We start from the raw sequence: 23970 nt of genomic DNA, 5'->3' as shown, positions 1-23970 counted from the left end.
GTGATGACAAAAAACCCCAGGAGAGTTTGACTGGCATCTCAATGGGTGGATATCACCTCCATGCTGCAGATAAACTAATACTTTTGAGTATGTGCTTTGAGCTAGGGTCTTTCCAAGCCTCATTTACTTTTCTGAGTTAACTAGTAAGGCAGAAACAATTACTCCCGTATGATGTACGGGAGGCAGCATAGCATAATGTCATGAGCTGGCATTTTGTAAGTCTCAGGAATAGCTGTCATCTATGTGTGATGTTGGGCATTTAGTAAAACAGAATTAGCAACTGCACCTACCCTCTCAGGAGCCTATGAAGATCAAATGTAACCCCACATGTAAGGCATTGAACCTCTAGCTCCTTTCAAATGCTCAAAATATGCTAATTGTTATTGTACAAAAATCAGTCATGAGGCTTAAAGAAGTATATTTGGTCCAATTTCGCATAACTAACAAGTTCCATGACTACTCTTGACTATAAGTAACTAATCATAGACTAAATAATTCTGAGCAAAAAATCCCTTTCTTATGCACCTCTGCACACCAGTACAGAGGAACTAAAAGAATTGTTGGCAGATTACACCAAACCAGTTTTCTCCACAACGCCTCCTCTTTTTTTTTTTTTTTTTTTTTTTTTTTTTTTTAGTATTTTCATCTGAAGATCAATTGTGCTTCCTGAGAGATGCTGTTCAGTCTATGCCCATGGCTAGGAAAGACCAGACCAAAGAATGCTTTTCATCTGAGGCCAAAAGTTGGGCGGGCAACTAGAATCTGCTCTTGCTAAAGACCCAGATAAGCACCCCTGTGATCTTAGGTCCAGCAACCACAGAGAAAAGATAGTTCATCACCAGCATCATAGATCTTTACAGCTGGTTCATCCATGCCTTTTACTGTAAATGTAGCAGGATTATAAAATTCAATTTGTAATTCCTGCTGCTCTAGAGGAAGCCTTTGTGTCCATCCTCAAGGCATGGTGACTTGATAGTGCCCAGGAATGGAAAAAGAATAAAAACACTACACCTTTTTCTATCGGGAAGAGACACCAACCCGAGATGTTATTAAGAGTTCTAAATAGGAAACAGTTTATTTTTTTACATTTCTATTTTATTTTAGATTCAGGGAGCACATGTACAGATTTGTTATAAGGATATTTTGCCTATTGCTGAAGTCTGGGCTTGTACTGATCCCATCACCCAGATAGTCAATACAGTACCCGAAAGGAAGGTTTTTCAGCCCATAGCCCACTCCTTCTCTCCCCTGTTTTGAAGTCCTCAGGGTCTATTGTTACCATCTTTATGTCCATGTGGATCCAGGGTTTAGCTCCCACTTGTAAATGAGAAAATGTGATATTTGATTTTCTGTTCTGTGCTAATTTCTTTAGGACAATGGCCAGCTGCATCCATGTTGCTGCAAAGGACAGGATTTCTTTTTTTTTTTATGGCTGCACAGTATTCTATGGTGTATATGGATTTCTTTCTTTTTTTGTTGCTGCACAGTACCTCATGGTGTATATGCACCACATTTGAAAAAAATCCAATCCACCACTGATGGACACCTGGGTTGATTCTGAGTCATAATGTTTGGGACCAGAAGTAGGAAGAGGGGTAGGGGGTAATTGTCATGCTACATGCCTACAATGAGTAATAGGATGCAGTGAAGTTGACATCAAGCAGTGCTTATTAGTAGGAGAAGAATTTATGCATCTGGGCAGAGCAAGACCTCTAGCAGCACTGCTCCTTGCCGCCCACCAATTTTGTAAATGGAACGAAAAGAACCTCTGTGTCTACCAATACCTCTATTTTATTTTCCTTCCTAGAGGAGTTCTCTCTCATTCCAATTATCCATTTAGAGCCACATCAAAGAGCAAAACTAGAACTAAGAACGAAAACTAGAACTCCCATTTGACCCAGAAATCCCATTAATGGGTAGACACCCAAAGGAAACAATTTCTAAGGGCAAGAGTTTCTATGTGACAATTCCTTTATGATGAGACTTTTTATTGGAGTACAAAAAAAAATACCCCCTGCCCTCCCCCCTCCACAAAAAAATAATGATTTCCAATCAAGATAGCCCAACATGTTGAACCCCTTCCATTTTAAACAGGTATCAATGCAGGTAAATGCTATGGAGAAAATTTAGATACAGATAGGACAAAGCCAGGGGTCTGATAACAGGTCTCAACATTCACCAAGAGTTTTCTTCTGAAATAACTAAGACTTCATCTTCCTTACCTAGGTGGGAGAATTGGAATTAGATTTACCCAAATAAATCCAGAGGAAAGCAAGCTGAGAGAGGCAGGTTTCTTATGCTGCTTGGTGTTTAGCTTATTTTAAGCGTGTAGGCTTAGGGTTGAGACACATAACCAGGAACTAAAATATCTGCCTCCCTGGCTTAGTGAGAAGAGGATCAGCCATCCTACTCTCATCATGGGCAGGGAATACTGAGCCTTGATACCTGATGTCCCTTTGGACTGAGGACTCTGGAACGTGGCAAAGGGAGTTAAGGAAACTAAAGACTGGAAGACTAAATGTGTGAAAGTATATTTCCTTCTTTAAGTGAAGCTGAAAATACAAATTCACAAGCATGTAGAGAAATACAAGAATATGAAGGACAACCAATAAAACCAGTGATTGCAGGATAAATATAGTCCACAGGAAACTAAAAACAACTAGAAATGCAACTAAGATTTAAAAATACGTACAAGGTGCTTTCAAATTTTCCCACTAACTGTCTTTGACAGCTGGGAATCTCAAGATCACCTGTTGTTCATGACTGTTGTCAAGGGGATCCTCCCTTTAGGGACACAGGAAGATTTGCCTAAAAACGTCAGGAAACTTTGATATCTATTATTTTATTATAAAATTCAACTACAGCTTTGCTGCTATATTACTTCGGGTCTTTACTCATTCCACTGTTTATTTTAAGCCTCAGCTTGTGGATAGTTGGAGAAGGAGGGAAAATATGTAACACTCTTATTAACTAATTTAACTATGTATATAACATGTAGAATAATGAAAGACTTAAAAGAAGATGTAGTATTTGTGAATGCTCCAACAAATTAAAAGATTATTTAAATTATTGATTTCTGATTAAACCACTTATTGTCTATAATGAATTAAAACAGTTTGTGAAAATAAATTCAGTGACATTTTTGCATCTATAATTTCAAAATCATAGTAACTTTCCAAAGCCAAAAATTCCTGAAACACAAGTCTGCCAATCATCACAATAAAACATGAAGCCCCAGTGAAATAGCTAGTCAGGATGGGTTCCCAACAAATAGCAGTTGAAGCTCCTACTGCCATGAAATGATGAAATAAACCCATGGATAATTTTTTCAATGCCAAAAGAATCAACACAGACTGTTTTGGGTTGCAGAGCTTGAATGGAAATACGGCATTAAAATAAGGTGCACAAAATGAATTCTTGAGTATAATTTTAAAATACACTGCAACGTTGCTCCGTAATATTCATCAAACCCAAAAGTGACCACTGACAAGATTCAGTTTATTTTAGTTTTATGCTGTCATTATGGAAAAAACTATAGCAGGAAGTTCACCAATTTCCCTTTGGAAAGATATATACAACCACAGCCAATAGGCTTTCCTAAAAGACAGCAGCTTTTCATTCGGACTTGTTTCCCATCCATAACACACATGTATTTATTGTTCAGGGTCAATACAGCCTTGCAAATAAACAGGCTTTGAGTTATACCAAGCATGCTCATCCTTATATGGTATTTCCATACAAGAAATACAAAAGAAATATACCACAAAATGATGGTGCTCAGGACATGGGGCAACGCCCTGTTTCTGTGGTATAGCGTCCTAGGTTTCGTAGGATTCCATAGGAGGCAGCTACAAGATCAACATGCAAAGCTCTGAAATCCCTTCCTAAGCTAATGAAGTGAAGCCCTGACTGCACCAAGGAAAGGATGAAACAGAACCCATTTATTGTTTCTCAAATGATGCTACCATCTCTTCAAAGCCACCATTAATTTTAACGTCTTTAAAGCTATAAGAACAATCTATGTAACAAGTGAAAACTGCCTATAAAATTAGTGCTTTACATCACAAACACTTATTATATGGAAATTCATATTTTCAGAATCACATAAAAGTTTAACGTGCTATTCTTTGTAGGATTAAAGGACATGAGTTATTCTGTCCATGTAATTACTAACAACTGGAAATTAAATCGTGATAATTTTGTACTTTATTCTTCTTAAAATAATTTCCTTTCTCCTTTTTCCTGAGAAGCATGCTTCAACAATACTAACAGCTTACCTTCTAAAATAAATGATCACATATAGGATATTTTATATATAATATATATTTATATTTATACATTATATATTTATGTATTATATAGAAATATAAAAATGCTTATATATTTTACAGATGTCTAAATATTTATATAGAATATAAATATTTATATATATAAAATCTATATAGAATATAAATATTTATATATATAAAATCTATATAGAATATAAATATTTATATATATAAAATCTATATAGAATATAAATATTTATATATAACATCTATATAGAATATAAATATTTATATATATAACATCTATATAGAATATAAATATTTATATATATAAAATCTATATAGAATATAAATATTTATATATATAAAATCTATATAGAATATAAATATTTATATATATAACATCTATATAGAATATAAATATTTATATATATAAAATCTATATAGAATATAAATATTTATATATATAAAATCTATATAGAATATATTTATATATATAAAATCTATATAGAATATAAATATTTATATATATAAAATCTTTATATGAAACCTATCTATATGAATACATAAAATAGATAAATAAATACATAAATATACAAATATATAGATTATATGTATATAATACATAGACAAATATGAATTATATATACATATACACATTAGAAACACACCGATCTTTTCTGTATAAAGACCTGTGTGTTTATATAAAAACCTGTGCATTTATATAAATATTTATAAATACAGATTTTATATATATATATAAATATACACACACATTAGGAATACAGTAGTAAATTCTACCATATATAGAAAAGACCTGTGCATTTATATAATTATATATAAATGTAGATTACATATATACACATTAGAAATACACAGGTCTTTTCTATAAATAAAAAGTTCTACTATATTATACTCTCATTGCAATTATTGACAGCTGGGTATTGAATCGTGATAATTTTGTACTTTATTCTTCTGAAAGTGATAATTTCCTTTCTCTTTTTGCCTGTGAACCATGCTTCAACAAGCATAAACCCTTACCTTCTAAAATAAATGATTATAATATATACATATAAATGTTTTCTATAGGTATTTATATATAAATATTTCTATATACAATCTATATATATAAAAATATAAAAATACATGTTAATATATAAATATATATGGTAGGTTCTAGTATATATAGAAAAGACCTGTGTATTTCTAACGTGTTTGTATACAGCAAATACAGTTGTATATTACATTTTATTTACATATATTTATGTATATTTCTATATAGTAAATTCTACTATATTCAGAAAAGACCTGTGTATTTCTAATGAATGGAAATATGAAATATACTTTTTGTCTCCTCAGTCGCAAAAATAAAAAGACTCTTTTCAAGTAGACAGATTTTGCTCTACTTTGAATTTTTCTTCTTAATTATATTAGAGTGTAGGGAGGGGACGCTGAAAGGAAAGAGATGGAAACGATTCTTCCATCGGTTTCTATAACCGCAAACGTATTTTAACAATGAAACCTAAGTAGGTAGAATCCAGTGCTTGGTACTTGGTGTATGTGCTAGCAAGATTGCATGAAGAAACAAACCTTACAGGAAGCGGAGTCATCCTGTGAAGGGGAAATTTGTCTCCAGTGTTCAGCCATGACGCAATCCTTATCCTCCTGTCTGGCTAACTGTGACCTGTCCCTGTGACCTCAACCCCACGGGACCCCACTTCCCTCCCTCCCCACACACCACCTATTCCTTCCTTCTTTCCTTTCTCCCTCCCCACACACCACCTCTTCCTCCCTCCCTCCCCACACACCTCCTCTTCCCCCCTCCCTCCCTCCCTCCCCACACACCTCCTCTTCCTCCCTCCCTCCCCACACACCACCTCTTCCTCCCTCCCTCCCCACACACCACCTCTTCCTCCCTCCCTCCCCACACACCTCTTCCTCCCTCCCTCCCCACACACACACCACCTCTTCCTCCCTCCCTCCCCACACACCACCTCTTCCTCCCTCCCTCCCCACACACCACCTCTTCCTCCCTCCCTCCCCACACACCTCCTCTTCCTCCCTCCCTCCCTCCCCACACACCTCCTCTTCCTCCCTCCCTCCCCACACACCACCTCTTCCTCCCTCCCTCCCTCCCCACACACCACCTCTCCCTCCCTCCCTCCCTCCCCACACACCACCGCTTCCTCCCTCCCTCCCTCCCCACACACCTCTTCCTCCCTCCCTCCCTCCCCACACACCTCTTCCTCCCTCCCTCCCTCCCCACACACCTCCTCTTCCTCCCTCCCTCCCTCCCCACACACCACCTCTTCCTCCCTCCCTCCCCACACACCTCCTCTTCCTCCCTCCCTCCCCACACACCTCCTCTTCCTCCCTCCCTCCCCACACACCTCCTCTTCCTCCCTCCCTCCCCACACACCTCTTCCTCCCTCCCTCCCCACACACCACCTCTTCCTCCCTCCCTCCCCACACACCACCTCTTCCTCCCTCCCTCCCTCCCTCCCCACACACCTCCTCTTCCTCCCTCCCTCCCCACACACCTCCTCTTCCTCCCTCCCTCCCCACACACCACCTCTTCCCCCCTCCCTCCCTCCCTCCCCACCATCAGAGAACACAGAGTCACTCAGATCAATTTGCAACACATTCATTTTATTATCATCAGAATGGCAAGCACCCCGCTGGTGAGATCTCTGAGGTCTGGCGGCTGGGCCTGAACTTAGTCGCTGCTCTCGGAGATAGGGGAGTACTTGGCCGTCTACACACTCGGTAGTTCTTCCATCTCGCTCTCCTGACTCAGTGGTTCTTCCATCTCGCTCTCCTGACTCAGTGGTTCCTCCACCTGGCTCTCCTGACTCAGTGGTTCTTCCATCTCGCTCTCCTGACTCAGTGGTTCCTCCACCTGGCTCTCCTGACTCAGTGGTTCTTCCACCTCGCTCTCCTGACTCAGTGGTTCCTCCACCTGGCTCTCCTGACTCAGTGGTTCTTCCACCTCGCTCTCCTGACTCAGTGGTTCCTCCACCTCGCTCTCCTGACTCAGTGGTTCCTCCACCTGGCTCTCCTGACTCAGTGGTTCTTCCACCTCGCTCTCCTGACTCAGTGGTTCCTCCACCTGGCTCTCCTGACTCAGTGGTTCTTCCACCTCGCTCTCCTGACTCAGTGGTTCCTCCAGCTCGCTCTCCTGACTCAGGGGGTCGTGCTGGGTCCCCTCGCTCACTGGCTCCTCCGGCGGCAGCTCGTGCTGAGGGAGCTCCTGGCTGGGCTGGTCGCTGGGGCCGGGTGCCGCTGGCCCGCTCTCCGCCTCAGGTGCCGTCACGGCCGCCATCTTTGTCGCAGCCCCTTTCTTCCCGCGTCTCCCTCTACGAACTGCTTTTCCCTTCTTGGCCACCTTGGTAGTCTGGAAGGACAACAGGGAGATCACAGAAGGGCTCCGGTTTAGGGACGAGGATGGAGGAGGCTGGGAACAGGGACGTGTCCTCAGAAGCGGTGGGGGCCGGGTTGGGGGGTTGTGCCAAGTGACGACAGGAGAGGCTTCTTGTGAGGAAGGAGGCGAGGGGAAGACGAGGAGGAGCTTGGGAGGGTCACTCACCTTCTTCTTCGGGTCACTGGGGCTCGGCTGAGAGGAGGACTTCCTCTTTCCTGCCTCCTTGGCCTTGGCCGGAGGTCCCGAGGCTCTCGGCTTTGGACTCATCTTCCGCAGCTCAACGTCTCGCAACGGTCGACTAACTCCAGGCTGCCTGGCCTCCCTGTATATACACCTCTCGCGATCCCAGGACGAGACAATCACGCCCCTGAGCTGTGATTGGTCAACACTCCACTACCCAGCCAATGGTAGCCCTGGGCGGGAAGGAAGGCCTTATACGTCACAAAGCACCATCAGGACATGGCGGATGAAGTCGGGGGCGGGGGGGGGTGACATCTAATGAGGAAGGCAGGGTGCTCTAATTGGAGAAAGGGAGATTTGGGTTAGCACCCCTAAAGATAGTTCCCAAACTGACATGTCACCCCTCCTAAACTCCCCATGTTCAATTTTGGCAGATCACGTGGCACGGGAGGATATTTCCGCCACATGTTTCCCCCGGACCTCCCATTCAGTGGTACATTCTGTTCCTCCACACCTGCCATCATTACCCGGTTTCTGTATGACCTACCTAAAATCCCTCCATGCTAACTGGGATGGATGGAGGGCTACACGAAGATGTCAATCATCCCTCTCTCCTACAAATTCCTCTGCTACACCTTGAGGATCATTCACTTCTTGGATGCCATGAAACAACTTTTCCATCTCACATACTTCTCCCAGCATCCACATAGTGCCTCACAATTTTTCATTCTCATGGTTTAAAGCACTGGCTTCCAGAGGTCAAGATCAGCAAACACACTCGCTCAGCTGGGTATCCGTATCAGGCTGGGTTCCTCAGAGAAGGAGAAACTAAACCAACAGGATATTTGTGTGTGTGTGTGAGACAGAGAGAGAGTGTCTGTAATATTATATATCATAAACATCTGTTTACTATACTATAGTATTTATTTATCAATAATATTATATATATGATACGGTTTACTCTAAGTAATTGGCTCACACCTTCACACAATGTGGGGGTCTAGGAAGCTGAAATATATAGGGCAAGGGAGCAGGCTGGAAACTAAAAGCTTCTGCACAGCCAACAATCAACAAAATGAAAAGGCTACGGTTTGGGAGAAACTATTTGCGAACCATATATCTAATAATGAGTTAATATCCAAAATATATAAAGAACTCACACAGCTCAATAGCAAATAAATAAATAGTCTGGTTAACAAATAGGCAAAGGACTTGAATAGGCATTTCTAGAAAGAAAACACACAACTGGCCAACAGGTATATGAAAATGTGCTCAACATCGTTAATAATCAGAGAATGCAAATGAAAACCACAATGAACTATCACCTCACACCTGTTAGGATGGCTATTATAAAAAAGTCAAGAGATAAAAGATAATGATGGCAAAGGTGTGGAGAAAGTGAAACCCTTTTACGGTGTGCAGAAAACGGGACCTTTAAACGCTGTTGACAGACGTGTAATTGGTACAGCCGTTATGAAAAACAGTGTAATGGTTCCTTGGAAAATCAAAATAGATCTACCATGTGACCCAGCAGTTCATCTGTTGAGTAGGTACCCCACTCCCACAATGAAATCCACATCTTACACAGATATCTCCAGTACTAACTAAGTGTAACTCATTAATCACACAGGAAATTAGAGTTTCTATTTGAAAAGAATGTTTTTTTTTCACCATTCTGGTATCAAATATCTATTCTAGCCATCTCTTCTTATTTCTTGCTTTGTAATAATCTAGGTACTACTACCCACTGACAGAACTGACTCATTATTCCAACAAGAAATGAGAAATGTTGAGAAGAATGCAATGTTATGCTTCTTGTCTTCAATCAGTTATTTTAGTTTTATGGAGGATTCTGTATTTAACTCTTACCCAGGTAACTCTAGTTACCATATCCACAGTACGTAGTAAACAATCGTAAAAATGTAAGAACACAGAATTGACTAGAATGGTTACTAAACTTTCTATATTCAACCAGTTTTCCTAGTAATTGCTAGTTGTTTATTCAGCTGTTTGCCTAGGTACCACTAAATGTTTAGTTTTATGTCACAGAGACATAAGAAGTAGTACTGTGAAGAATTTATTTATTACAAGTACTGGCTTCATGTAGCTATCTCTAGTTAATTACTCACTTGGATAAAGTAGATATCTATTGTATGAGGTAATATTTCTAACATGAGGTTGGAATTTTGCATTGAGGAAAATGGTTATTGAACTCCCTGGCATAGGCCAGTTATCTTCAGCTTCCTGGGATCAATTACTTGGTCTGGCGAATTCTAGCTATCTTTAGGTTGCTAATTACATGTTTACCACCAGATGTCTGTGGTAATTTATTATTTCAACAAAAAATAGTGGAATGATAAGGAAGGATTTTCCTTTTTCTTGGCATCACATAGATGATTCAAGTTATCTCCAGTTATTCTTTGTAACTTTTTTTCCTGGGTAATATTCAGCACCTACCCTTGTAAGTTCTTATCTCAATTAAAACCGATAATTGAGAGTTGCAAAGAACATGATTTTCAGAATCAGGTTCATTTGGTATTGTAATGACTGTAGGCTCTTTCTATGTAACGAGTTTCATGGGAAAGCCCAGTTAAGTAAAACTTATATATTAACTCAACACCAACAAAATTTTATCTGACCAGACTAGATTCCCTATGTTCTACATTCCACTGAACTATTCTTGTTGTCTCTATTTTACTACTTACTTAGGTACATGACTTACCTGTAGTACTAACTCATTATTCCAGCAATAATTCAGCAGTAAGTGGTGAGAAGAAAGTGATTTTATTTTTAATATTTATTTTTATTGAAGTAAAATATACATATATAATGTACCCTCTTTACCACTTGTAAGTGTGCAGTTCAGTGGTAATAAATACATTTATACTCTTTTATTTCCCCTTCACCCCCCCCCCTTCCCCTTCACCCCCCCTTCCCCTTCTGGCCTCTGGTAACCATCACTATAGTTGCTGTTTTCATTAGAATCACTTTTTTAGCTCCCATGTATGAGTGAAAACATGCAATATTTGTTTTTCTGTGCCTGGCTTATTTTATTTAACATAATGGCCTCCAGTTCCATCCATATTGCTGCAAATGACAGTATGTCATTCTTCTTATGGCTGGATAATATTCCATTGTGTACATATACCACATTTTCCTTATCCATTTGTCTATTGATGGGCACTTAGGCTAAATCCATATTTTGGCTATTGTGACTTGTGCTGCAATACACGTGAGCAAGTATTCCAGCAGTGGAATACTCAGATCATATAGTAGTTCTATTTTTAGGATTCTGAGGAACTCCATACTCTTCTCCATAGTGGCTACAGTAATATCTATTCCCACCAACAGTGTACAAAGTGGGTTCCCCTTTCTCCACCTCCTTGCTAGCAACCTTTCATGCCTGTCCTTTTGATCAAAGCCATTTTAACTGGGGTGAGATGATATGGCATTGTGGTTTTGATTTGTATTTCTTTGATGATTCGTGATGAGTATATTTTCATATGCCCGATGGCCATTTTTGTGTCTTCTTTTGAGAAACGCCTATTCAGATTATTTGTCCATTTTTAAGTCAGATTGTTTGTTATTAAGTTTTTCGAGCTCCTTATGTATTCTGGTTATGAATCACTTATCAGATGTATAGTTTGCAAATATTTTCTGCCATTCTGTGGGTTGTCTCTTCACTTGGTTGATAATTTCCTTTGCTATGCAGAAGCTTTTTAACTTGATGTAATCCCAGTGGTTTACTTTTGCTTTGGTTCTTGTGCTTTTGAAGTCTTACTCAAGAAATCCTTGCCCAGACTGATGTCCTGGAGCATTTCCCCAATGTTTTCTTCTGGTCGTTTCTGTTTCAAGTCATAGTTTTGAGTCTTTTTTTTTTTGTTTTTGTTTTTTGTTGAGGCAGAGTCTCATTCTGTCGCCCAGGCCCAGGCTGGAGTGCAATGGCACAACCTCGGTTCACTGTAACCCCTACCTCCTGGGTTCAAGCAATTCTCATGCTTCAGCCTCCTGAGTAGCTGGGATTACAGGTATGCACCACCATGCTTGGCTAATTGTTGTATTTTTAGTAGAGACGGGGCTTTACCATGTTGACCAGGCTGGTCTCAAACCCCTGACCTCAAGTGGTCCATCCGCCTCAGCCTCCCAAAATGCTGGGATTACAGGCTTGAGTCACCATGCCCAACCAGAGTCAAGTCTTTAATCCATTTTTTATTTGCTTTTTATGTGTGGTGAGAGATAGAAATCTAATTTCATTCTTCTGCATATACTTATACAGCTTTCCTACCACTGTTTATTGAAATATCTGTCTTTTCAGCATCATATGTTCTTCGTGTCTTTGTTGAAGTTGAGTTGGTTTTAAGCATGTGGCTTTATATCTGGGTTCTGTATTCTGTTCCATTTGTCTCTGTTTCTGTTTTTATGCCAGTACCATGCTGCTTGGTTTACTATAGCTTTGTAGTAAATATTGAAGTCAGGTAGTGTGATGCCTCCAGCTTTCTGCTTTTTGTTCAGGATTGCTTTGGCTATTTGAGGTCTTTTATGGTTTCATATGAATATTATAAGTATTTTCCTATTTCTGTGAAGTATGTCATTGGTACTTTGATAGGGATTGCATTGAATCTGCAAATTGCTTTGGGGAGTATTGTCAATTTAACGATATTAATCCTGTCAATCTATGAGCATGGACTATCTTTCCATTTTTTTGTGTCTTGAGAAGACAGTGTTTTAAAAATTTTTGTGTTTAGTTTTTCTAGCTATTATTACTTATTCATAGTAAACTAATTACCTGGGTACTGGCAGGTACAGGTCGACCTTGTTTTATTGTGATGCACTTTATTGCATTTATAGATATTGTGTTTTTTTAATATACATAAATTGAAGGTTTCTGGCAACTGTCTGTTGAGCATGTCAGTGTCATTTTTCCAACAGCAGGTGCCCACTTCATGTCCCTGTGTCACATTTTGGTAATTCTCACAATATTTCAAACTTTCCCATCATTATTATATCTGTTATGATGATTTCTGATCAGTGATCTTTGATGTTATTATTATAATTGCTTTAGGACTCTACAAACCGGGCCCATATAAGAACACACCAAGAGGCATCACACTACCTGACTTCAAAATATACTACAAAGGTGTATTTCAAAATATACTACAGATCTACAGTAGGAGCAAGATGGCAGAATAGAAGGCTTCACCGATTATTCCCCTGGCCCTCTTGCAAAGACACTAATTTAACAAATATTTACACAGAAAAAAACACCTTCATGAGAACCAGAAATCTAGTGAACACCCATAGTACCTGGTTTTAACTTCACATAGCTTGATATGGTTTGGCTGTGTCCCCACTGAAATCTCAACTTGAATTGTATTTCTCAGAATTCCTGTGTTGTGGGAAGGAACTAGGGGGAGGTAATTGAATCATGGGGGCTAGTTTTTCCTGTGCTATTCTCGTGATAGTGAATTAAGTCTCACGAGATCTGAAGGGTTTATCAGGGGTCTCTGCTTTTGCTTCTTCCTCATTTTTTCTTGCTGCCACCATGTTAAGAAGTACCTTTTGCCACCTGCCATGATTCTGAGGCCTCCCCAGCCATGTGGAACTGTGAGTCCAATGAAACCTCTTTTTCTTCCCAGTCTCGGGTATGTCTTTATCAGCAGCATGAAAATGGACTAATACAGTAAATTGGTACCAGTAGAGTGAGGCGTTTCTGAAAAGATGCCCGAAAATGTGGAAATGACTTTAGAACTGGGTAACAGGCAGAGGTTGGAACAGTTTGAAGGGCTCAGAAGAAGATAGGAAAATGTGGAAATGTTTGGAACTTCTGGACACTTGTTGAATGGTTTTGTCCAAAATGCTGATAGCGATATGGACAATAAAATTCAGGCTGAGGTGAGCTTAGATGGAGATGAGGAACTTGTTGAGATCTGGAGCAAAGGTGACTCTTGTTATGTTTTAGCAAAGAGACTGGTGGCTTTTTGCCCCTGCCCTACAGATTTGTTGAACTTTGAATTTGAGAGAGATGATGTAGGGTATCTGGCAGAAGAAATTTCTAAGCAGCAAAGCATTCAAGAGGTGACTTGGGTGCTGTTAAATGCATTTAGTTTCATAAGGGAAGCAGAGCATAAAAGCTAGGAAAATATGCAGCCTGATTATGTGATAGAAAAGAAAAACCCATTTTCTGGGGAGAAATTCAAGCTCACTGCAGACATTTGCAGAAGCAGCAAGGAGCCTAATGTTAATCCCTAAGGCCATGGGGAAAATGTCTCCAGGTCATGTTAGAGACCTTCACAGCAGCCTCTCCCTTCACAGGCCTGGAGGCCCCGAAGGAAAATGTGGTTTCATGGGCCAGGCCCAGGGTCCCCGTGCTGTGTGTAGCCTAGGAACCTGTTTCCCTGTGTCCCAGCCGCTCTAGTCGTGGCTGAAAGGGGCCAATGTACAGCTTGGGCTGTGGCTTCAGAGGGCAGAAGCCCCAAGCCTTGGCAGCTTCTGCATGGTGTTAAGCCTTCAGGTGCACAAAAGTCAAGAATTGAGGTTTGGCAACCTCTGCCTATATTTCAGAAGATATATGGAAATTCCTAGATGCCCAGGCAAAAGTTTGCTGCAGGGGTGGAGCCCTCATGGAGAACCTCTGCTAGGGTAGTGTGCAAGGGAAATGTGGGGTCAGAGCCCTACTGGGGTACTGCCAGGTAGAGCTGTGACAAGAGGGCCACAGACCTTCAGACACCAGAATGGTAGATCAACTGACAGCTTGCACTGTGTACCTGGAAAAGCTGCAGACACTCAATGCCAGCCCATGAAAGCAGCTAGGAGGGAGGCTGTACCCTGCAATGCCACAGGGGCAGAGCTGCCTAAGACCATGGGAACCCACCTCTTGCATCAGCATGACCTGGATGTGAGACCTGGAGTCAAAGAAGATCATTTTGGAGCTTTAAAATTTGATGGCACTGCTGCATTTTGGACTTGCATGGGCCCTGCAACCCCTTTGTTTTGGCCAATTTCTCCCATTTGGAACAGCTGTATTTACCCAATACTTGTACCCTCATTGCATCTAGGAAGTTACTAGCTTGCTTTTGATTTTACAGTCTCATAGATAGAAGGGGCTTGCCTTGTCTCAGATGAGACTTTGGACTGTGGACTTTTCGGTTAATGCTGAAATGAGTTTAGACTTTGGGGTACTGTTGGGAAGGCATGATTGGTTTGAAATGTGAAGTTTTGGAGGGGCTAGGGGTGGAATGATATGGTTTGGCTGTGTTCCCACCCAAATCTCAACTTGCATTGTATCTCCCAGAATTCCCACATGTGAGAGGGACCCAGTGGGAGGTAATTGAATCATGGGGGCCTGTCTTTCCCATGCTATCGTCATGATAGTGAATAAGTCTCACAAGATCTGATGGGTTTATCAGGGGTTTCGGTATTTGCTTCTTTCTCATTTTCTCTTGCCACTGCCAGGTAAGAAGTACCTTTCACCTCCTGCCATGATTCTGAGGCCTCCCTCGCCATGTGGAACTGTAAGTCCAATTAAACCTCTTTTTCTTCCCAGTCTCAGATATGTCTTTATCAGCAGCATGAAAATGGACAAACACAGGGACACTATTTCCTTTTGCACAATGGAAAGCATCATAAATAAGGTAAAAATTAAGATACAGAACAGAAGAGCACATGTGTAACTTCAATTTATTGACTTGGATAGTTTCTAGATGATATACACATATTTATACCCAACAAATTAGTAATTTAAAAAATCCTCAAGACATTTAAAGATGGGCAAATTATATGGAATAAAATGTATTGAAGACAAAACCCAAATGGATAGTAATCACAAAAAGTCTGGTGTCACTGAGAGTCAAGGGATTACAAAATATCACAAAGGAATGCACTTCCATTTGCAAACAGTGGTAATGCCGTGTGTTGATAGAAATATGTAATCGATCTTTTCTTTGGTGGGCAATTAGCAATATTGAGGAAAGTTAAAGATGTATGTATCCCTACCACTTGAAACACCTGGAAATGCCATTACCATGCTTATATTCTAGAACAGAAGTTCTCTGCCATGACTGTACATGAGAATCACTGCTCTAGAATATGGCACAATACACATTCATGCGCATTATTCCTTGTCCAGCAAATGCAAGAGTTTCTCTAGAGGAGGGGCTTATCTCAATCCTAGGCTCCTGTTAGAATCTCTTCAGGGGTTCTTTCACAAAAGTAATACCTAAACATCCCCCTCCAAATCTGATTAAGTTGGCCTGGATGGAGTCTGACTGAGGAAGCCTGGATGCCCATTAAGTTCTTCCAGGGAACTATTGAAAATCTTGACACCCACGTTGCAATCCAATATCTCTGGATTTGAGCCCCAAGCTTTGTGTAAACAAATTACAACCTTGTGTGTAATAGCAAAAATCTGGAAGCCACTTAGATGTTCATTGAGAGGAGAATGCATAAATACATTGTAGAATATACCTATAATAAAATATATCCTGCTCTTAAAATGAAACAAATTTTGCCCTCATCTATCAGCATGACTGAAACTTAAACATGACATTTTGTGCAAAAAAAGGCAAGCTAAAAGAATATATGGACATAAGTTCTTTATGCCACCCTTATGTCCATATATTCTTTGTAGTATAGATGTAAATATGTAGAATATATATTTATAAAATATGATCTAGACACAAATATATAGAATATATATTTATAAAATATGATCTGTCGACATAAATATATAGAATAGAATATATAGAAATAAATAATTTCTATCTATATAACCTTTATGGTATAGGATGTCATCTAAATAACATAAGCATATTGAATATCCTATTTATTATTTACAGATACATTTGTGTACTAAAGGTATGAAAGTTCAAAGGCTGGGTGCGGTGGCTCATGCCTGTAATCCCAGCACTTTGGGAAGCCGAGGTGGGTGGATCACAAGATCAGGAGTTCAAGACCAGCCTGGCCAATATGGTGAAACCCCGTCTCTACTAAAAATACCAAAATTAGCCGGGCATGGTGGCAGGCACCTGTAGTCCCAGCTTCTCGGGAGGCTGAGGCAGGAGAATCACTTGAACCTGGGAGGCAGAGGTTGCCATGAGCCGAGATCGGGCCACTGCACTCCAGCCTGGGAGACAGGGCACGACTCCATCTAAAAAAAAAAAAAAAAGTATGAAAGTTCATATAGAGGTAATATAAGTCAAGTAAGGGTTAGTAGTTACACCTGGAGAGGGAAGGACGGAAGGAAGACAGGGGCAATAATAAGGTCTGATGTCACTGCAAAAACAGAACATTTCAGCTCAGTGTTGGAGTCTCACTGATTTGTCATTGCTTCCAGACCCTGCACCCAAGCATGTTGTAGTGTGAACTGAGGACACCTTTAGCAAGATTTAACAGCTGTGGTCATTCAATATTTTCAATGAAAGAGCTCACAGAGCAGTTTCTCAGCTTACCAATAGACTTAGGAAACATCAGTCTTCACCATAAAATGGAAATTTTCTTTTCCTTGAATTTAACATATTATTTGAATAATTTATAAAAAGTTTGCCTTGTTTTCTTTTCTCGTTTGGAAATGTTGCTCTGTAGCTGTCAAAACTCCTTCTCACTTCACCACTGAGAAGTCTAAGGCAGTGGAGAAAGAGTTCTGGCACTGAAAATGTATCCAAAACAGTTGCTCCTTTTCTAAACTGAAGAACAGCAGTTACCTTAGACTGGAACAGCATGTCAGGATGACATGAGGCTCCATGGGAACATGTTTGTATCATCTGTGGCCACCTAGAGTCCATCAGCAGTAACCACAGTGGAATCAGAGTTGGAAAGAATTGCACTGGGCATAACTCACAAGTTTCCTTCTGCAATGACGAGGGTGGCAGTCTATCTATCCGCAATCTGTGCATGCACATTCCAAATCCTACCGAGAAAGGTTCGGGGATGCATCAGGGGATTCCATGAAAGGGAGAGAAATGTGCATTTTAATGCATGTAATGTGCCAACCATGAGGCTACTAGAGTTACATAGATTGTTTTATTTAATTGCCACATGGTTTGAAATAGACATCCTTAGCCCCTGCCCCCCCCCCTTTTTTTTTCCATAGGGGGAATGTGAAGTTAGAGTGGTTAATTTTCTCACATTTACATAGCTTGTTTGTGACAGACCCTATATTGACACAGCCTGTATCATTCCAATCCATGCCTCCCCTCTTCAGTGCTTCTATGCCACAGTCTGTGCATCCCCATTTTCCTTAGCCAGTTATTTCGGAGTTTATGCTTCTCCACGCTCCCAGCTGCTCCTTCTCCTCTTCATTTCATGCCTCTCCTAATTTGAAAACTCGTCAATTTTCTGAGTCTTACCTAAACTCAATTTCCTCTCCTGTGTCCTACGTTTTTGCACCAAACCTGCACTGGGTGGGAGGATGCCGTGAGTGGAAATTGTGGGATTTTCAGTTGGACACAGAGGAAATTGAATTCAAACCTGTTATATGCAGCTGTGTGATATTGGACAGTGACCTAATGATGGAGAGCTTGAGTTTCTTCATGTATAGTAATAAATACTTCTCATGGAAGATTGCTGTGAGAATAGAACAGGATTGCATTTGTGCAGTGGCTGCGTTCCAGTGCTCACCTGGTGAACATTTGCTCCCCTTCCCTTCTAACTGTCTCATAAGGTTTCCAGTGGGAATTGCATCTTCTTGGCCTTGCTTTGAACTTGCTAACGAGATTCAGAACTGGATCTGTAACAGATTTTCAGTTAATACATTTTGAATATAAAATGTTTACATTTCCAGTCTCTTTTAGGGGTTCTGTTTCCTTTGCATCAACTTTTAATTTTTGAATAATTTTAGATATAGAGAAAAGCTGGAAAGACAGTGCAGAGAGATAACACGAACCCCTCGCCCATATTCCCCTAATGTTAACATATTATGGAACCACAGAGTATCTGTCAAAATGAAGATATTAACATTGGTAAGTTACTATGAGCTAAACTCCAGACCTCATTGGGATTTCCTCTGTGTTTCCATGGGCTCCCTTTCTCTGTTCCAAGATTCAATTCAGAATCCCATGTTGAGATCATGTCATTACAGTTCACTGGCTTCCTCCCATATGTGGCAATTAATTAGTCTTTCCTTGTCTTCATGACCTTGACAATTTTGAGGAGTACTCCTCAGATATTTTGTAGAATGTCCCTTGATTGGACTGGGTTTACCAGATGCTTTTGTGAACATTATACTGTGGTTCTGGGTTACCGGGCAGAATATCACAGAGGTGAAGAGCTCTTCTCCTCACACCGTTCCAGTGGTACAGGATGAGGGTGCCCGTTTTAGGAGACTCAAAGCAATAATTTGCTAATACTGAGTGACTTGTTTAGAAAGAGTCAGTGAAGCTTCTAGAAATAGCTACCCTTTTTTTGGAATGCCTTGGCTCTGATGTCTTATCACACATAACATTCTTGGCTGCATTAGGATGTCATACACTCCCAGTGAGATGCTTGAGCAGAAAAGGAGCTTGTAAGAATTGAGCTATTAGGCAAACATGCAAGCAAACAAACAAAAAACCAGGTGGGCAATGTACACTTTGGAAAATACTGCCTTGCTCTGTTGGCTGCCATCGTGAACCTGTTTTTCTAACATCTGTTATAAACAGCGGTACCCTTCTGCAAACAGTGCCACCTCATGCACAGAGAGAATAAATTTTCCTGGGCATTTGTGGCTCTGTGTGTGGCCCGGGAGGCAGCTCAGCCTGGGATTTGGGCCTGCAAAAATAGAATCATTCTTTCCACTAGCAGAGGAAATTAGTCCTTGTGAAACTTCAGCTTTGTTGAAAGGACACACACAATGCACAGATTTCCTGTCTACAAAATTCATCCCACAGATACTATGAGGAGATATTTTTAAATGTACCCATGCTAATGGCTGGATTTTGAGATTTTTACAAAGCAGAAATAGATGTAATGATCTCTCCTTCTTCCTTCTCTTTTTTTTTTTTTTTTTGCACTCTACTTTTCTCTCTCTCACAAACTGAAGTTTAACTCAAAATCAGTGGTCCTCGATTAAGTTGACTGCATCCCCAAGGGGACAGTTGGCAGAGTCTGGAGAAATTTTGCATTGTCCGTATTAGAGGAGGGGTGGATTGGCATCTAGTGGGCAGAGGCCAGGGGTGCTGCTAAGTAAGCATCTTACAATGTACAAGACACGCCCCACCACAGAGAATCATCCAGCCCCAAATGTCAACTGTGTCAAGGCTGAACAATCTTCTCCTTGCACTGCTTCCCCTCTCCACTGCTAGTGGAGCCTGTGACTGCGGCAGTCCTGCAATTCTCCCCCCTCCCCCCACTTTTTTTAAAGATGAAGTCTTGATTTGTCACCCAGGCTGGAACAACCTCCGCCTCCCGGGTTCAAGTGATTCCCCTGCCTCAGCCTCCCAGAGTAGCTGGGATTAAAGGTACTCACCACCACATTTGGCTAATTTTTGTATTTTTGGTGGAGACAGGGTTGAGAGGTGACAGCGTGCTGGCAGTCCTCACAGCCCTCGCTTACTCTCGGCGCCTCCTCTGCCTGGGCTGCCACTTTGGCAGCACTTGAGGAGCCCTTCGGCCCGCCGCTGCACTGTGGGAGCCCTTTTCTGGGCTGGCCAAGGCTGGAGCCCACTCCCTCAGCTTGCAGGGAGGTGTGGAGGGAGAGGCGTGAGCGGGAACCGGGGCTGCGTGCGGCGCTTGCGGGCCAGCTGGAGTTCCGGGTGGGCGTGGGCTTGGCAGGCCCCGCACTCGGAGCAGCCGGCCAGCCCTGCTGGCCCCGGGCAATGAGGGACTTAGCACCCGGGCCACTGGCTGCGGAGGGTGTACTGGGTCCCCCAGCAGTGCCAGCCCACCAGTGCTGCGCTCGATTTCTCACCGACCCTTAGCTGCCTTCCTGCGGGGCAGGGCTCGGGACCTGCAGCCCGACTTGCCTGAGCCTCCCACCCACTCCATGGGCTCCTGTGCGGCCCGAGCCTCCCCAACGAGCACCACCCCCTGCTCCACGGCGCCCAGTCCCATCGACCACCCAAGCGCTGAGGAATGGGAACGCACGGCGCGGGACTGGCAGGCAGCTCCACCTGCAGCCCCGGTGCGGGATCCACTGGGTGAAGCTAGCTGGGCTCCTGAGTCTGGTGGGGAGGTGGAGAGTCTTTATGTCTAGCTCAGGAATTGTAAATACACCAATCAGCACCCTGTGTTTAGCTCAAGGTTTGTGAGTGCACCAATCGACACTCTGTATCTAGCTGCTCTGGTGGGGCCTTGGAGAACCTGTGTGTCGAAACTCTGTATCTAACTAATCTGATGGGGACGCGGAGAACCTCTGTATCTAGCTCAGGGATTGTAAACGCACCAATCAGCGCCCTGACAAAACAGGCCACTCGGCTCTACCAATCAGCAGGATGTGGGCGGGGCCAGATAAGAGAATAAAAGCAGGCTGCCTGAGCCAGCATTGGCAACCCGCTCGGGTCCCCTTCCACACTGTGGAACTGTGGAAGCTTTGTTCTTTCACTCTTTGCAATAAGTCTTGCTACTGCTCACTCTTTGGGTCCACGCTGCTTTTATGAGCTATAACACTCACCACGAAGATCTGCAGCTTCACTCCTGAGCCAGCGAGACCACGAACCCCCCAGAAGGAAGAAACTCCGAACACATCTGAACATCAGAAGGGACAGACTCCAGACGCGCCACCTTAAGAGCTGTAACACTCACCGCCAGGGTCCGTGGCTTCATTCTTGAAGTCAGTGAGACCCAGAACCCGCCAATTCCGGACACAGGGTTTCTCCATATTGGCCATGCTGGTCTCAAACTCCTGACCTCAAGTGATTCGGCAGCCTTGGCCTCCCAAAGTGCTGGGATTGCAGGCATGAGCCATTGTGCCTGACCTGTGATCCTCTTGGAACTCCATTCTTTGCCTCCCCAAGACTGCCCTCAGCTCTTTCCTCCAAACCTCCCTTTACGTTCTTGCTGGAGTTCAGTGAGTTCCTTCTCCCTATGACTCCAGCTCAGAGTTCCAACATGTATTTCTCCCCACGTTTGTCTTAGGTTACATTGTTTTGTTTAATTGCATCTGACATCCCTTTAAAATTACTTATCAAGTCATTACATCTACCTGCACTTGGATGTCCTCTCCTTTCCTAAGTCAACATGTCCCAAACTGAATCCTTCCTCCTCTTGCCTCGATTTTCCCTGGCATGACTTCATTTCTGCAAATGACACTGCAATTTCCCCAGGCAGCCAGGCTCAAACCTTCATCTTTCAGTGATTCCCTATCAAATTCATCATCCATTCTCCAGTACAAAATTTACCAGTTCTTTCTACCAAACTCCTTCTGTAGTTATTTCTTTCCTGCCTCTTCAGCTTTGCACAGGGTTCTCCTTCATAACCTTTTAGTCTTTGGTTCACCAACCTCCTAACTACCCCCTCATCCTTGAATCAGCTCACCGTCAACAATGGGTCGTCTTCCTACTGTGACAGCACAAACCCCAATTCCTGCCTTTCATTCCTCATTTCCCTGCCTCCTCCCCTGGCAATGATTCCCTCTAGTTTAAAAAATATATATATTATTTAATTTATTAATACATATTTAATATATATTAATATAAACATATGTGTATATATACATATTTAATATATACATATATGTATATATACATATTTAATATATATACATATATGTATATGTATTTAATATATATGTGTGTATATATACGTGTGTGTATATATATACATATATACATATATATACATATATATACACATATATATATACATATATATATACACATATATATATGTATATATATATATATAGAACAGTTTCAGGATTACAAAAAAGATGCAAAGATAGTCCAGAGAGTTCCATCTACTGCTCACTCATCTACCGTTAGTGTTAAAGTTTTCTATCACTGTGGTTCCTTTGTCACAACTAATGAATCCATGTTGGTACATTAGTCTTAACTAAACACAAGGTTTTATTTGGGTTTTGCTAGTTTTCCTTTCAAAGCCCATGTTCTCTTCTCGGACTCAGTCCTGGATTTATCATTGCATATAGCCATTTCTCCATAGTCAAGGCCGGGTGTGAAAATTTCTCAGACTGTCTTGTTGTTGTTGTTGTTGTTGTTGTTTTTGATGACTTTGACAGATTCGAGGAGCCCTGGTCAGGCATTTTGCAGAATGCCCTGAATTTGAATTTACCTGCTGTTTTTCTCATGATTAGACTGGGATGACTGAGCTGATGAGACTGTGGTGTTTCTTCTCTCTTAGAGAAGGAGACCTCAGAGGTGAGGTGTCCTTTTCCTGATATTTAATCACAAGTGCATGCTATGAACATGAAGTCACTGGCTAAGGTAATGCTTGCCTGGCTTCTCTACCTTGAAGCTACCATCTCCCCCTTCCCATATGCTAATTTTTGGAAGCTAGTCATTAAGTCCAGCCCACACTGAAATGTGAGGGAAGGAAGACATTCGATATACTTAGGCAAGTTTGCTTCTAATTCTGTTTTTCAGTGTCTATTTTTAATTGAAAATTAATAAATTATAGTTGTATATATTTATGGGGTACCAAGTGATGTTATGATTTATGAATACAATATGGAATAATTAAACTGAGCTAATTCACATATCCATCACCTCAAATACTTACCATTTTTTTGGTAGTGAGAACATCTGAAATTTACACTCTTAGCAATTTTAAAATGCTTCCAATTCTTTGTTTTAAATTCCACCCAGAGCACATTTATGCTTTCTTTAACTCAAATTCTATCTGAAGGGCTCAAAAGCTACTTTGTCTGTAGGGCACTCTTTGATTTCTCTTTGATGAAATTCTCTTATTATTTATCAAAAACACTCAGAAACTAAATTCTACCTGTACCCAGAATATTTCAGAGATGTGTGCTTCCCTTCATCTCAGACCACATCTCTAATTTATGTATTCATTTTGCCCTGCATTTCACATCAGTGTTTTGTGTTACTCTGATCATTCCTTGCTGGCTCCTGGATTGCTTGCTGAATTAGTTCTGTCTAGTCCAAAACCGTGACAAGACACACTCAAATGATACTTGCCAAGGGAATGAAGGAGCCATTCATTGACAGCTGATGT

General features: G+C 41.4%; 1 protein-coding gene and 1 long non-coding RNA gene across 4 annotated transcripts in view; both read right to left on the bottom strand.

Moving 5' to 3' along the window:
* Window positions 1–6896: 6896 nt before the first annotated feature.
* VCX3B (variable charge X-linked 3B) lies at window positions 6897–8577 on the bottom strand. The gene is made up of 3 exons (NM_001001888.4): window positions 8417–8577; window positions 7855–8102; window positions 6897–7662 (listed from the first exon to the last, which is right to left on the bottom strand). Exons 2-3 carry the CDS (start codon window positions 7954–7956, stop codon window positions 7024–7026), a joined length of 741 nt encoding a protein of 246 aa, NP_001001888.3. The 5' UTR covers window positions 7957–8102; window positions 8417–8577; the 3' UTR covers window positions 6897–7023.
* Window positions 8578–17022: 8445 nt separating this feature from the next.
* Window positions 17023–23970, bottom strand: part of LOC107985675 (uncharacterized) — a 528885-nt gene continuing 521937 nt past the window's right edge. For 2 of the 3 annotated variants that reach the window (XR_001755783.2, XR_001755782.2), the window contains one exon: window positions 17023–18592. This is a non-coding gene — a long non-coding RNA (uncharacterized LOC107985675). The remainder of the gene's footprint in view (window positions 18593–23970) is intronic. The other variant, XR_001755784.2, reaches the window with a different exon arrangement.

This window comes from Homo sapiens, chromosome X (assembly GCF_000001405.40).
Source record: "Homo sapiens chromosome X, GRCh38.p14 Primary Assembly".
Taxonomy (NCBI): Eukaryota; Metazoa; Chordata; class Mammalia; order Primates; family Hominidae; genus Homo; species Homo sapiens.
Note: the sequence above shows the minus strand (reverse complement) of the source record. Positions and strands in the feature narration are given on the sequence as shown.